General features: G+C 45.1%; 1 long non-coding RNA gene across 2 annotated transcripts in view; it reads left to right on the plus strand.

Moving 5' to 3' along the window:
- Window positions 1-13665, plus strand: part of LOC105378054 (uncharacterized) — a 36714-nt gene extending 23049 nt beyond the window's left edge. For both annotated transcript variants that reach the window (XR_943109.3, XR_943108.3), the window contains exons 2-3: window positions 2320-2407; window positions 13326-13665. This is a non-coding gene — a long non-coding RNA (uncharacterized LOC105378054). The remainder of the gene's footprint in view (window positions 1-2319; window positions 2408-13325) is intronic.
- Window positions 13666-16236: the final 2571 nt, after the last annotated feature.

Consider the following 16236-nt stretch of genomic DNA (forward strand, 5'->3'; position numbering starts at 1 on the left):
ACAGCAGCATTATCATAGCTCACTGTAGCCTCAGGCGGGCTCAAGTGATCCTCCTGCGTCAGCTCCTGAGTAGCTGGGACTACAGGTGCATGACTCAGCTTCTTGTGTGAAGACGGAGTAACATCCATAAAGCAACTAATAGGATTTCACACACAGTAGGCCCTTGAGAAACGCTGGATCTTATGGTTTGTGTGCAATCTACAAGGTGTTTCCCCATCAGGAAACGCAGGGGTTATAATTTGGTTGTTGGTCCCCTCTAAATCTCATGTTGAAATGTGATCCCCAGTGTTGAAGGTGGGGCCTAGTGGGAGATGTTTGGGTCATGGGGGCATATCCCTCATGAATGTCTGGGGGCCGTCCTCACGATAACGAGTGAGTTCTCTATCACTCCATGTGAGATCTGGTTGTTTAAAAGAGCCTGCACCTCCTCCTTCTCTCTTGCTCCCTCTCCTGCCATGTGACACACTGGCTCCTCTTCACCTTCTGCCATGATTTTAAGCTTTCTGAGGCTCTCAACAGAAGCAGGTGCCAGCAATAAAGTTTCCTTAGGGGAGAGATAATGGTGGGAACAGTGGAGGAATGTGTGCAAGCTGCACTCAGGCTTTGCTGTGACTTTGTCTTGGATGGAGCCTGTCAGGTTATGAAATGTCATCCATTCCACATCCCTCTATGGAGTCCTCTGGAAAGAAGAATGGGCAACTCTTCCATAGGCTTCCTGTACAGCCTGCAGAACTATGAGCCAGATAAACCTCTTTTCTTCATTAAGTTACCCAGTCTTGGGTATTCCTTTATAGCAACGCAAAGTGGCCTAACACAATGGGGTCAGCTGATTCCTAAGCAGTATGTTGGTTGACACTGTTAATATGCTCTTTTCCCCATTTCCAGACTTTTTGGATACTTCATAGTGTATTTATTGTGCTATTTCAGATGAATAGTTAGATACAGTGGAGTACTTCAGATGAATATATATCCAGTACTTCCCATGAATATATATCCAGTGTATTATTTGAAAATGTAGTTAACATTAAGTGTATCCCAAGTCCTCCTGACTTTGTGGATGCTGTTTACATAGAGTTTATTCATATCTCTGGGGGTGGTAAGGGGAGTGTATTCTTTGGGGAAGGAAACAATTTTTACAACTACTTCCTAATTCCAGCTCGGAAGTCAGCAGGGCAGGCTGATGTGATGTTGAGTCATGCTGGGTTGATATCACGATGACAGAAACCTTAGGCCTCATTTCCATGCCTGGTGCCATCTGACTCTCTTTCTGGAAGGGCTTATGTCAGCTGTCCTCAGTGGTAACAGTGGGTTGAGCTTGATAATACTGGTTACAGGATTCTGAAAAATCACAGAAAGCCCTGAATCCCAAGCATCACACCTTAGTTCTGTAGAAAAAAATCTAAAGCCAACAGTATTTTTTTTTAACAGAGCAAAAGGAAGCTCATGTAAAACAAGGAGAGACAAGAGCTACTGAAACCCTGAGTGGCCACTTCTGTTTCTCCTTATCCTGTCTAAGCATCTCCCTGGATGCTTAGCATTGTGGGTGGAAGGGACCTGGCCAGCCTACACAGTGGAAGTTATCCTCCAATACTGAGATTTTCCAGTCTCATTACTCACCAATGCTCACTCAGGCAGGAAATGTTGCTTATACAGGTGCCAGGCAACCCCATACCTCTTTCACTCATCTCCCTTAATTATTGCAAAAGGCTTTGGGGTCCACTATTTGGTTGAGGAGAGTGTGGTGTCATCAGAGGTGTGAGAAAGCCTCACCTCCATTACCTGGGAGGCAGAGTGTCAGGGACAGAGAAGGCCTTGCTTTGGCCACAGGCCCCAAGCTAAGGGACCTTAGCTCTCTGGCAGCCCATGGAGTGGGCCCTGCCCAGTCCATACCACTGTCTATTTCCCTCACGAGTGGGACAGAGGCCCTGTGCCTGGATCCTTGGGGACGCATTTGCTCTACCCCGTTCTTCTTTCCAAAGGGCTCCCCAGAGAGATGCAGAACGGAGGACATGCTCCATCCAAGACAGGGTCATGCTCAGCCTGAGTGTGACTTGCACAGTTTCCTCTGCCTTTTCCCCCGTTATCTACCCCATAAGGAGACTTTAGTGTTTTTTTATTTTTCCCATAATACCCTGCCTACTCCATAAGATTTTCCATGAAGATCAAACATGCATAAAAGTCCATTGTAGATGGTAGATCACTCTACTGATGTTATTATTATGACTAATAATAGTAGCTTCAAAGGGGCCCAGTGTTTCCACTTGATTTTCTTTATGCTGTGACTGTTTTATCTTGAAGAATTTTTCTTTTTGCTCACAGGTATTTATATCAGCCAGAGTCCCAGCAGGAAGATGGCATCTTCCACAAGATAAGTGGGCCAAGTTTAAAGATGAGATGATCTACACAGGTCTGGGCAGGGCTATGGGGTTCCCCAGGGGTGGAGGTGCCCCAGGGAGGGGAGTAGCACTAGCACTAAGCCTGAGAGTGCAGCCTGTGCAGTCACCTGTCAGTGCTCAGAGAGTCCCCGTGCTTCGTTTAACCCTCTGCTGTCACATTCTTGAAATCTCGAATACTTTTTGAACAAGGGTTTTTGCATTTCATTTTGGCCTTGGGCCCTGCAAATAATGTAGCCCATCTGCTTCGACCTCCTCCAAGTCTGAAGAGACAAAGGGAGGAAGGAATGACATTGGTTGGAGCCCAGCTATGGGAAGGGCTGTTTAATAGGGTCTGTTGTCTGAGGCCAGGCGCAGTGGCTCATGCCTGTAATCCCAGCACTTTGGGAGGCTGAGGCGGGAGGATCACCGAGGTCAGGAGTTCGAGACCAGCCTGGCCAAGATGGCGAAACCCCATCTCTACTGAAAATACAAAAATTAGCCAGGTATTGTCATGCATGCCTGTAATCTCAGCTATGTGGGAGGCTGAGGCAGGAGAATCGCTCAAACCTGGGAGATAGAGATTGCAGTGAGCCGAGATGGCACTGCTGCACGCCAGCCTGGGCAACAGAGCAATACTCTGTCTAAAACAAAAACAAAAAACAGGGTCTGTGGCCCAATACAGCAGCTACCATCATAACTGAGGCTTCCTATGGAGGAAGAGGGTATAAATTCCCTGGCTCTTTCTCCTCCACCCTCATGAATCCTGCCAGTGCCTCCCACTGGCTGAAACGCACGAGAGCCTGTAAATTCCCCAGGCACAGAACGAGGATGTGAACTGCAGGTAGAAGACCTGGAGGGGGAAGGGAGACTAACGGCACACATGTATGCAAAGAATCAAACGATCTGCCCTTCCGCAGCCTGCAGGCTCCTACCTGTATGGCACCTTCCTGCTCAGCCTCTAGAAACCACACCATCCTCCAGGACCATCCCAACATCTTTGCTGCCCATCCAGCTTGTTCACCTCCTCTGAGCCACTTGTATAGCATATCTGATCTGACTCCATATATTTATGCATTTAAAACTGTATAAATAATTTTAAAAATTTAAAGGACATACTTGAGGACCATCTGAGATACGGAAATGAGAAGCACAGTCCCTGCTGGGGTAAACAGCTGCCCACAGTTGGTTCACACTCTTGGCTGGTCCCCTTCTAAGTGAGTCTAGCCTTAGCCATGTGACTTGTTTGGCCAATGGGACAACAGCAAATGTAACACAAGTAGAGGGTTGAAACGTGCGTGCACATCGAGTCCTGCCCTGTCTTGCTGCTGAAAACTGCTGCCACCACGTGAACAAGACTGGGTTGATCACATGAAGGATAAGAGGTCCTAATTATCCCAGCAATCCACACCATGCCCGCTGAGGCCCCAGAAGCCCAAGGGAGGCCACAGAGACCATCCAGCACTACACAGCTGGCCCAGACCAGAAAATCCTCCCTCAAGGAACTTAAAGAATAGTCCTGAACCTGCAGGAGACAGATGTGTGGGCCAACAGTGACAGAGAGCACAGCAGTTACTTTGTCAGAGGCTTGTGTGGGTCAAGTGTGCAGAGCAGGGGAGCGTGGAGGGGGCCTGTGGGGACAGGAAGGACTGACAGAGGCCACCACATAGGAGCTGAGACCTGCAGAAGGAGCAGACGCTGGCAAGTGTACCAGCAGCAGGAGGATGCTCCCAGTGTTGGAGGACCCCAGATGCAGGTAGACATGAGGCAGACCTTGGCATCTGAGGGCTCTGCAGGAATCGTGTGCTGCTAAGGGGAACCTATGAGATGGGCTCACCCTGAAACAGAGATGCTTCCTGCAGCCTGGCGCGGAAACTCAAGGGAAAGATTGGCCAACTGATTGTTCTCTTAAATATTCGGTTTGACTTTCCAGGTTTTTATTACTTTTTATTACCCACATTTGGTGCGAGGGCAAATCTGTTTATAGACACCATCGGCAGGGCCTTTGTGAGCAAGTCTGGGACTCTGCGAAAAAATTCTTTGGGAGCCAGCAAGGGCATATGTGTATGATATAGACCACCCAGGCACCCACCAGACCCCCAAGTTATTTGTACTTTCATCCTTCCACCCTGCTGGGCAATTTAAAGTGATTCGAGATGAGACTTAAGGTTGTTAGTTATTCAGCTGGTCTTGAAACCACCTTTGCAAAGATTATGACAGTAAGAAAAGTCTAGGTGGCTGACTCCATCTTGCTTCTAGCCTCACAGGCTAGCTGTCCTTGCTCATTCCTGGGCATAGGCCAAGCTAACCACAGGATGAATTTAGTTTATAATTTAGCTTTGAAGCAAGAATGATAATAGTTCCTTCCTAAAATAGATCCCCTCCTGGCTCAGAGACTGACACTGCCTTTGTAAAACTAATGAAAGGCCATGAAATTAGGATTATGGGAGGGGCCGAATTCTGCTAAAATGTAGCTATAATTCCTAGCTGCTCAAGAGTCATGTGGCCACAGATCACAAGACTAGTGACTTCCCCCAATAGCTCCCTAGTAATGTCACTATTGTGGAGCCTAAGATTGGTCTTTTGAAATGTTTTTCAGACTTTTGCATTCTGGTGATCAACAGACTCCACCCAGACCCATGACTCATGACTCAGTCAGTTCTGTGGCCCCACCCAGAGGTGGACTCATTGCACAAGGGCCCTTTTCCACACCCTTATGATTTCATCTCCGACCAATCAGCAGCACCCATTCCCTAGTCCCCTGCCCATGAGACTGTCCATAAAAGCCTAGCCTCTGAGTTCTTGGGAGACTGATGTGAATAATAAACTCTCAAATACTGCTTGGCTAGCCTTGAGATAATTAAACTCTCTACTGCAATACTGCTGTCTCGCAAAAAGGATCCATGGGTATCTATATTCTCTCTCTCTCTTACATTCTCTCTGTCTCTCTCTCTCTATTTTTGCAGTTCCCAGGGAACACTGGAAAATGCAGTTTGTAGGGAAACATCTTTCTTTCCAGCTCTTTTGATGCCAATAGCAACAAAGAGGCCACATGACATGCTCTGTGCTTCTTGGAGCAGAGCCCAGGGTCTAGTGGTTAACAGGGACAACTAAACTGTACTCTTCGGCCATCATATCCAGGATGCCACATACCATGCCTGGAAAAAAGTCCTCACTCATGCTTATTCTTGCTGTCACTCTCATCTCTCTTGACCCCTTCTATGACAGTTCAACACAATTCACACTTTGTTATTGTGTGAAAGAAAAAAAAATTTTTTTTCCTCATGAAGATCTTGAAGAGAGCTGTTTCTGAGCGATCAACCTGACTGTTGCAAGAAGGCATGTGTTGACATGTTGATATGACTGTGCTTTTCTTTCTTTTCATTGTGATTTGCTTAGTGGGGCAGCAGACAGAGAGGTGGGGCAGAGATCCCTGTGATCCTCAGAGGGACTGTGAAGGGCTGGGACTGCTGCCTTAGACCAAGTTTTCTTGTCAATTGCAATGTCTGCGTCAAAATTTTTCTCCAAATGATGGTGGAGATCCAGCACCTCAGCAGCGAGAATTTGCCACGTGAAACATAAACCAAATTATGCAAAACCCATAAGACATGTGAGCCATCTGGGGGATAAGGATGTCTTCCCAACCAAGACTGGAAATTCAGAAGCTAAAATGAAAAAAAGTAGACTTATTTCTAAAATTTAAAATAAATACGAAATTTTTATGGCAAAATGCAACATAAAGTCATCAAGCAGGACATTTGGGGGAAAATGATAATGCAGAGGACAAAGATATTACATTTACACAAAGAGATTTTATAAATCAACAAGGAGAAAAGTATGAATAATTATAGCATTTGTGAACTTATTAGCAACCTAGTAAATATTTTTAAAAAGATTATACCCTATGACTTAACATTCCAGGATATGTGTATGAGGATATTTGCTAAGCTTTATTCAATATGGCAAAGCAAAACAAAACAAAACAAAAAATCTTGAAGCATTTACTGAGCACATTCTGCATGGCAGAAACTGTGTTAAGTCCTCATTCAACTGTTTGAACAGCACAATGAGTCGGCCATTAGACACAGCCCCTTATTAGGATGAGAAACTCTAGACTCAGAGAAGGCAAGCAATTCAGTCAAGATTATACAAAGAAGCTACATGGCAGTAAATGCCAGATATGAAAAAAGATGAAGCTAAAAATGAAAAAAAAAGAATAACATCAAGAAATGTAAAAGACAGAACTAAAACTTAAAGCTAAGGCCAGGAACGGTGGCCCACACCTGTCTTCCCAGCACGTTGGGAGGTTGAGGTAGGCAGATCGTTTGAGCCCAGGAGTTTGAGACCAGCCTGGGCAACATGGTGAAACCCTGTCTCTACAAAAAATACAAAAATTAGGGCTGGGCGCCATGGCTCATGCCTGTAATCCCAGCACTTTGGGAGGCTGAAAGGTCAGGAGATCGAGACCATCCTGGCTAACATGGTGAAACCCCGACTCTACTAAAAATACAAAAAAATTAGCCAGGCGTGGTGGCGGGCGCCTATAGTCCCAGCTACTTTGGAGGCTGAGGCAGGAGAATGGCGTGAACCCAGGAGGCAGAGCTTGCAGTGAGCCGAGATTGCGCCACTGCACTCCAGCCTGGGTGACAGAGTGAGACTCCATATTAAAAAAAAAAAAAAAATTAGCCAAGTGTGGTGGTGCACACCTATGGTCCCAACTACTTGGGAAGCTGAGGTGGGAGTTTTGCTTGAGCCCGGGAGGCAGAGGTTACAATGAACTGAGATCACGTCACTGTACTCCAACCTGGGCAACAGAGCAAGGCTGTCTCAAAAAAAAAAAAAAAAAAAAAGTAGAAGGTAAATACAAAGATAAAAAGCAAAGAACCAGAAAGTAAAAAGCAAGAGAGAAAAATGAGGTTTAGAAATTTCCATTTTCCCTTTGACTTTGTGTCTTAAAAGATAAAAAATAAAGAGATTTAGAATTTTTTTTTAAAAAAAGAATTAAGAAACAAAACAGTAAAACATAAACTAAGAGTGACAATATTTTTTAAAAGAGAAGACAGAGATAAACGAAGAGCTTAAAAAGCATGGGAATAAGAAATAATAAAAGGCTTAGTAAAAAGTTGGCGTGAAAGGTGACCCACCCACGGGCCGAGCCCTACCCATTCACTGAGCCTGGGAAATGACATTCAGCAGCAGGTGGAGGAGCAGCTGTTTTCTGTCACCCAGCTCTCAAGGGCCTGGGCTGGTTGTAGCTCCCTGTCACTGAAGCAAGCCCTGTGCTGGAGCCTAACCCCGGTGTCTCTCCAACTAACCCGCATGCTGCCCTGGCCCCTGGTATTCTCACCTCCTCCCATGGGAACCTGGGACAGCCACGCCTAATGTGCTGCGTCTTGACCACTTTGCCCAGTGCCTAGGAAGGTCTTTTTGGAGGCAGAGCCTGCCCTTGGCTGGGCCCTGCATCGAACTCTATGGAGCTCCTTGAACTGCAACGCTGGCCCCATGGCCTGATAAGGACCACTGCTACTGAGAAGCTCCAAGGACTGCTCCCTCTCATCACCCCTTAGTGTGCACCCCTGGACCATTGGCCCACATTGGACACCAGACCCTTAGGATGTGGATTTGAATTATCTGCTCTTTCCTGAAACTAACAGGTAATATTGGGGCAGAGGAGAAGGAAGGATGTCAGACAATATTTCATTTATCATTATTATTATTTTTAGAAGGAGTCTTGCTCTGTCACCCAGGCTGGAGTGCAGAGGTGTGATCTCGGCTCACTGCAAACTCTGCCTCCTGGGTTCGAGGGATTCTCCTGCTTCAGCCTCCCAAGTAGCTGAGATTACAGGCACCCGCCACCACGCCTGGCTAATTTTTTTTTTTTTTCTTAGTAGAGACGGGTTTTCACCATTTTGGCCAGGCTGGTCTCAAACTCCTGACCTCAAATGATCCACCCGCCTCGGCCTCCGAAAGTGTTGGGATTATAGGCATGAGCCACTGTGCCCGGCTCAGACAATATTTCAAATCAGATAATAGGACAAGGAGTAAAGAACCTAGACAGTTCTCCAGAGGAGCTTCTGGCAATGTTTCTGAAATCAGGGAACCAGCGGCCCCAGTGGGGTTTGATACTGAAAGAAAGCCTTCTAAGCAGAAACATTAGTTCTTGTCAAGGGTCAGAGTAGGTCTCAGCATGGTGGGCTTAGTGAAGAGGAAAGTAGGCTGGGAAGCCGGCCTGCAGAGTGAGTAGGGGAAAATCTACGCAGCCCCCGAGAGGGAAGAGGAGACAAATTTAGGTTAGACAATCCCAAAGAGCATCAAGTTACTGAGCCACCGTCTTTCTGGGGACAAAAAGGTCTCATGTAAAAGAATGAGCTCACACCCGGGTGGGACGTTTTGCAATTTGATGGAGAGGATGTCGAGTACGATGAAAGGCCTTCAGACCAGCGATCAGAACTTGAGAATGACCTGCTTCTTCCACTTACAGCTCAGTGTTGGCTGAAACACATGTAAGTCACTGTCAGAAATACCATTCAGTTAAAACTCTTCATGAGCAGAGGAGCTGTGTTAAAGGATTCCTTTTCATTTCTTATGAATCCCAGTGTATTCTAGATTTTACGTACCAGACATACCCCTGTGTATTCTGCAGTGGCATTAACATGCACCAGATATAACATATAAGCAGAGTTTTTGCTAGTAAGGAATTTAAGACTCATTTTCATTTAATAACACCATCTTATAAGTAAGAAACCAGGGTTCTAGCAAGTTAACTGGTGTCCCCAAGGTCACTGAGTTAAGAGTGAGCAGATCAGCTCCTGGAACGGCTGTCTTCTGACCCTTAGGCCAGAGCTCTTTCCATTATACTCTTCAGACAAGGTTTTCTATGTCCTTTATAAGCTGTCTCATCAAAATATACCCAGCAAAAGTGCAGGACGTCCCCACTTAAACCTGCAACACAAGTCGGAGCATCCTTTCATTAGCAGACCTGAGGGCAAGGAGGTGGAGAAGAATTGCTTAGGCAGCTAATGGATTCTCTGAACATATGCCTTGAGACACCGCAAGCCCTTCTTTGCATTGTGACATAAGACACAGTAGAAGCCTGCTAACAGTGACAACCCCTTCTGAAGGAATAATAGATCTGTGCAAAAAGCCTTTGGCTCAGGACATCGGGTGGCTTGGTGCAGCTGTCCTGGATTTCTGGAAGCTCGACTTGCTGTGACTCCAGGAGGTGAGAGCTCATGTCCATTCTTCCATCTTTGCAGACACAGGGGGCCTGTGGGCAACCTCAGACCACCCAGGCTGACCCTGTTGCTGCCTGGATAATGCATATTTTTACTTTTCCATGTCTTTGAAGCCTTGACATGGGCTGAAACAGGGACCCCAGGTTATCCCCGGATGAGGGCGAGTTGACAGACATCATGAACATATTAATGTCAGCTTTTCAGAATCACATTAAGATGTGTTCATGTCAAATCAGTCTTGACAGTGAATAATACGAATTAGTGACTTGCTTTGTGAAGGCTGAGTTGGGAGAACAGTGGCTCCAGAGAACCTTGGTTTATGAGTCATTTACACTTTAAATATGAGTCATTCACAAACAGTACTTGCTTTTCTGTATTGTTCATGCATCAGGGCCCTCAAAGTCAGAATATGCTGCTCCAGGCTGATGGGCCCTTTAGGTGTATGTACAGGGTGTTGATGATGGCTTAAATGTTGGTGTTTGCCCCTAAATCCTGGCCACAAATTATTTCTCAGCTTCAAGCTGATATCTCTTACAAGACAATAACTGAGATTCCCTTTAAAGGTGTGGCCCTGACTTAGTCTTCTACCCAGCTCTCTACAGGGATAGCTATGAGTATTGATTGCCCCTTTGGCCCAGCAATTCAAGCTGCTCTTCCTGCCTAGAGCTGTGGCAGTTGAAACATTGGGGTCTGCTCCTAGGCAATGGGGGATTGGCTGGCATAAACCAGTGGCTTCAACAGCTCTGGGGACAAAGATCAAAAGCCGGCTGCCACAGGTTTATTGCAAGTGAGAGTTTGAGTTTCACCCTGACACAGGAAAAATCAGCAGGAATCAAGCAGTTAGGAAGTGCTGCAGACTGCAATTACCGGGTGTCAATTCTGTCTGATCCCACAGGCAGGGGTGTGCGAAATTTAGCATGTGTTGACCAGCAGTATCCCACGGAAGCAGGATGCTAAGAACAGTTCCCGGCAACATGGCCTTTGTGTGGAGGCTGGAAAACAACAGGAGTTGTGAAGCTTATTTGGCTCAGGGAACAAGAAGAGCTGGGGGCTGTTAATAAGTAGGTCTCCGAGCTGTCAGTGCTGGGACTGACAGTGGCCGATCAGCTGGAGCCCTGTGGGAGCCAGCTCTCCCTTTCATGGCACCACCTGTGTGATGTATCTCAACAACATGGCACATATGGAGCCAGGCTATTTCTGAAAGATATTACAATGAATTTCAGCTTAAACAATTAAAAACAGATTTCTCTTTCTAAAATTAGATAAAGCAGACTGATTAGATAAATATCAAAGATTTCCAGAATAAGACAAGCTGGAGAAGGGGTTGGCAAACAGTGGTTCCAGGCTGGCAGCCTGTTTTTACAAATAAAGTTTTATTGAAACACACTCTTTATTTTATCAATCATATATGGCTGCTTTCAGGATACAACAGAGGGACTGAGTAGTTGCGACAGAGACCAAATGATCTCCAAGAGCCTAAAACATTTCCTATGTGGCCCTTGAAGAAAGTTTCCTGACCTCTGCTCTAGTGCAATGGTCCCTGGGTCAGGTCTTTTCAGTAATTCCAAAATCGAACTGGATTTGTGTGTGAAATGGCCACAGAGAATAACTACAACAAGGGATATCAAACTGGCGGAGCAGTCAAATCCAGGCTGTACACGTGCATTCTTTGGGCAGCAGTGTTGTGTTTTATAAAAATTAGCAACATTTTAAAATAAGGAGTTTTCACATAAAATGTCTGATTTGGGGCTACTCTTGGCCCACATCCCTGCAAGCAACTGTGGCCAGAGCCCAGCAATAGCAGCCTTCTTTAGAGGGGACATCTCCTGTTCCACTTTACCACAATTCCGACCACATCTTACTGTTTCCCCATCACTAAGACAGTATCAGACACCATGGGTCATGATTCTTGCCCCACTGGGTCCACACCTGTGGGGGCTTCATTTTGTATTACCTGCCAGTTGGCATATGAGTTTGCAACCCAGCACTGACATCAAGATTCTTTGCTTTAGGCTTGAATTCTCTCAGGTCACTCTCAAGCACAGGTTGTGTCCTGCTGATGAGAAGCACTGTTACTACTGACATTCAGTTATTCTGTTAACTATTACTCACATTAATACATTGTCTGGAAGAAAATAATAAAAGTGATGTTTCATAATGAAAAGATGGGGGAACCATTACTCTAAAACAGTGAAGGAAACAAAATATATTGTCTTAGGTAATCAGAGTGATCTTTCTTTACCAATCATTAGTAACCAGTAGACTGTCAACTCCAGGAGGACAAGGGGTCCAGCCACTCCCGATGTTTTCTCCGCAGCCAAGCAGGCCCATCTGCCTTGCTAACATTTTCTCCCAGGGCTTCTGGCTCTGAATGAGTGTTCCCCAAAGTGTGGTCCCTGAGCTACCTGTGTACAACCACCTGGAGTGCTTGTTAAAGATGCAGTTTCCTGGATCCACCCTAGGCCAACAAAAACAGAATCTGTTTGTTGGGACCTCAGAATCGCCATCATCAATTTTTTTAAACAAACAACTGTTGATGAGCAAAAGCCAACAGCATTGAGCAATGGTCAGCTGCTAGCAATTCTGCTGGGTCAACCATGTGAGCCTTCAATTCTAGACTCTCAAGATGACTCTGATATGCTAATGTGGAGACTATGCGCTCAGGAGAATGGCCAAACAGTATTCTAGAGAATAAGCACCAAACATGAAACATGCAAAGGGCAACGGTGATGCCCACTACTGGGAGGGAGCCCACCTTTGGAGAAAGCCCACCAGTAGACTCTCCTCAGTTACCAGGGAAGCCATAGAGAGAGTTCTGGAATGCCCTGGAATGCCCTTAGAAGTCATCTATGCTACAATTTTTGACAATTTTATTTGCCTTCTGATCTCCAAGGATGAAGGTACAGTTAACCTTTTTTAGAAAATTTGAGCCCTTATCTGCCATCACAAGGATTTACTTGCTTTGTATTTGGAGGGAAGAAAAGAATGTTGATTTTTAGAAGGGTTTTAAAAATAATAATTGCATCTCCCTCCCATCTGCTTGTTTACACAGTTTAGCACAGAAGGGGTTTAATTCCTTATTTGGAACCTGCTGGAAGTTTGAGTTATGAAACTCCCCAATTCTGTGCCTAACAGAAATGATGTTTAAAGTTCTGTAGCCAGGTGCCATCAAAAGACACTTGGTTGGGAGGCCGAGGCAGGCGGATCACGAGGTCAGGAGATGGAGACCATCTTGGCTAACACGGTGAAACCCCATCTCTACTAAAAATACAAAAAGTTAGCCGGGCGTGGTGGCGGGCACCTGTAGTTCCAGCCACTTGGGAGGCTGAGGCAGGAGAATGGCGTGAACCCTGGAGGCGGATCTTGCAGTGAGCCGAGATTGCGCCGCTGCACTCCAGCCTGGGCGACAGATTGAGACTCCGTCTCAAAAAAAAAAAAAAAAAGACACCTGGACAGCTTTAATTTGCTTCATCACAGAAGCCAATGCCTGAGAAAATGGAACCAGAAACAAAGGCTCTTGAAGTGGTAGTATAAAGCTAGAGGAGGGGGAAACTGAGGTACCATACAGCCTTCATTATTTGCATATATGTAACACCATTAGCATCTTCTTTAAATACAAAGTGGCATAGAACATTAGAAAATATAACTTTCCTCCCAAAGGCTTGGCTATTTCTGCGTGGAATGCATGAATAAAGTTACAGTTTTGTTTTATTTTTAGGCAACTCTATAGATCACTGGGGACTCATCCTGCAGATATCATTCAAGGTATCCGGTTCAGAATCTATCACCAGCTCAGACTGTAGCCTCTGAAGAGATCTCAGATGTTTTGTGCCTTATACATTTAATTCTGAGATCATAGAGCCCAAGGAGGTTTTGAGGACCCTCTACCCACACCTTCAGATGTTTTCAGAGGATTTGCTGGCAGGGCTGGGCCACTGGGCCTTGCTGGGCTCTAATTTTCCTACCCACGTGTGTCCTATAGACCGTGAATTTTCTTCTAAACACTCTTGACTTTTCACTTGTTAAATTAAAGCATTTTCTTAAAGAAAAGATTAAAACCAAGAGGTGTGAACTTTTTTTTATTGGGAGAAGGGCTATGTGTGTGTTTCTCCCAGCCCTAATTCACTTCCTCAATGTGCATGTCCATACACCACATTCTTATGTTCTTTAATCCTAACTTGGATTTTCCCCCCATCTTTAAAAAAACTACTTTTCTCAATTTCTTTTCTTTATCATTTTCTTCCTGTCTCCTGTGATGTACAAAATACTATTTCCAGGGCTTTTCTCCTCCTCCTCCTCCTCCTCCTCTTATTCTTCCTCACTTTCCTTTTTGCAAAGTTATACTCTCTGGGAACATAATTAATGTTTACTGGGCACTGGTGATTGATCCATTCTTCTGGTAATCCTCTCCCACTCAGTCCTCTCCTTCCCCATGACTCCTCCTCCACCCACCTTATCCAGGAATATAGAATTTTCCACTGCCTCAGATTCACTCCTTTATAACAGTTCCCACCCTTTTCCCTCTAATATGTGCTGCCTTTTCCAAGTTGCATTACAAGACTGGAACCAGTTTCTGTTTATAGCCTCATGACTCTGCAAGACCCTCCATCTTTACTACTGGGATATGGAGACTTGAAATCACCTGGCTTTGTCCCTTGCTTTTTAAAATACAAGCGAGCACCTAAAAGCAGCATCATTTTGTATAAGGTTGGATTCAGTGCAATTTGGAGCTCTGCTCTCATGACAGTGTTTTTACATTATACAAAATGCCTGTAAGTCCCCTCATCTGTGAATTCCCAAGAAAGATCAGTCCAAGTAAAGAGAAAGCTTGATTTATGACTCATCAAAGAAGGGAATAATAATAATTTTTAAATAATACATTATTCTTTGGGGATTTACAAATAAAAATATTAAAAGCCTTATTGGATTAAAATTAAGAAAACCATTTAAAAATTGAGATCTCCCTTCCAGTTCCAAGCTTATCATATAAGTGTGACTTTGGCCAAGTCACCCTTCTGCAGCCCCATGCTGTCTCATCTGCAAAACTGCAGCTCTAGGGGCTCTAAGAAGCCTATGGATGCATCTGAGATGGGATATTTTGCCTTGGTAACTCCTCATTCTATCCTCCAGCATAGAATAACCCCTCCCCTCTGAGCCACAGTGAATCTTTTCCTCCTCTTGCTTTTTACCTCTGTGGGCCATGGCACCTATCACATCATATTAGAGCAAGATGCTTGCCTGCCAGTTTTCCCAACCAAACAACAATCAGATTATATTATTATGTTGTAAGTAAGAGGAAATACAAATCAAGCATGCTTAAAAAATAAAGGTAATTTTTTGGTTCATGCAACTGAAAGGTCCAGCCACAGCCTGGCCTAGGGTCTGGCTAGATCCGGGCTCATGTAATGTAACAGGCTTCAATTTCTCTCCTTCCTGTGCCTCTGCTTCCCTGTTGCAGGCCCATTCCCAGGTGGACATGAGATGGCAGCCAAAAGCTCCTGCAATTACATCCATTCTCAGTCACATCCAAAGGGAATGAGAGGGCTTCTTCCGGTGGTTCTAATAGAAGGAAGACATTTTTCCTTCCCAGAAGCCTCTGCAAATTTCCTCCAGAGGTAGTGACTGTTGGGTTCGGGTCACGTGTCTATCCCTGAACCAATGGCTGAGGCCAAGAAGATGAGATATGCTAATTAGCATGAACTACTCAGGCTGCCCTGCCTCCTGGGAGCTGGGGGGTAGAGTCAGCCCCACCCACCTGCATGGCTGGGAATGGGGTGGGGGATGGAGGTGGAGGAGTGAATCCCCAGCCAGATGTTAGGGCATCAGAAGTGGGACAAGGGCAAATGGTGGGGAGGTCTTTGGAGCTGTCACTCCCCTGGCCATGCTGAGAGCCTGGAGACCCCATCCTTTTACCCCACAGCAATGTTAGTGTGTTCCAGCATCAAAGGAGCTAATGAAGAAAATGACCCATGAGTCAGGCTTTGGATATGACATTTACGACAAACGGACACAGGTGGGTATAAAAATTAAAAAAAAAATAAAACAAAAACAAGCAGCTTAACTTCCTTTGCTCAGCAATAAAATTGCCTGGGTTGAGCCTCTATCAGAAAGAGACAGGTGAAAGGCAGGAGTGGAAATGAGCTTTCGCCCTCATTCTCCAACAGCAATCTGGTATTTAGCTGGAGGCAGCTACTGTAAAAAGATTTGTGGCAGTGACTGTGAAAGAGATATGAAATGTCAGGGTCTCCTGCCTGGTGGGGCTGTGTTGGGTCAGGGCATATGGCATCCTCCATCCCCCTTCATCCAGGATGCTGAAAATATAATTTAAATGATATTTCCTTGACTTAGCAAACTATGGTCACCAAACATAATGGAATATGAGATAGCTAAGGAGATGCTATGTGAAAATGTTGATTAATATGGATGCTCTATTTGAAATAATCTAAGTTAAAAAACAAATCCAGAACTTAAAATAGCATAAACACACTGATTACAGCTCCACAAAACATGTTTTCACTTTTAAATATTGAAAGAGTGTTTGCGGTAAAGTAAATAGTTTATTAGGTTGGATTCTTCTGTAAAGTGCCTTAGCTCATAAATTTTAGAGAACTTTTGCAGAATGGCCTTCA

This window comes from Homo sapiens, chromosome 6 (genome assembly GCF_000001405.40).
Source record: "Homo sapiens chromosome 6, GRCh38.p14 Primary Assembly".
Classification (NCBI taxonomy): Eukaryota; Metazoa; Chordata; class Mammalia; order Primates; family Hominidae; genus Homo; species Homo sapiens.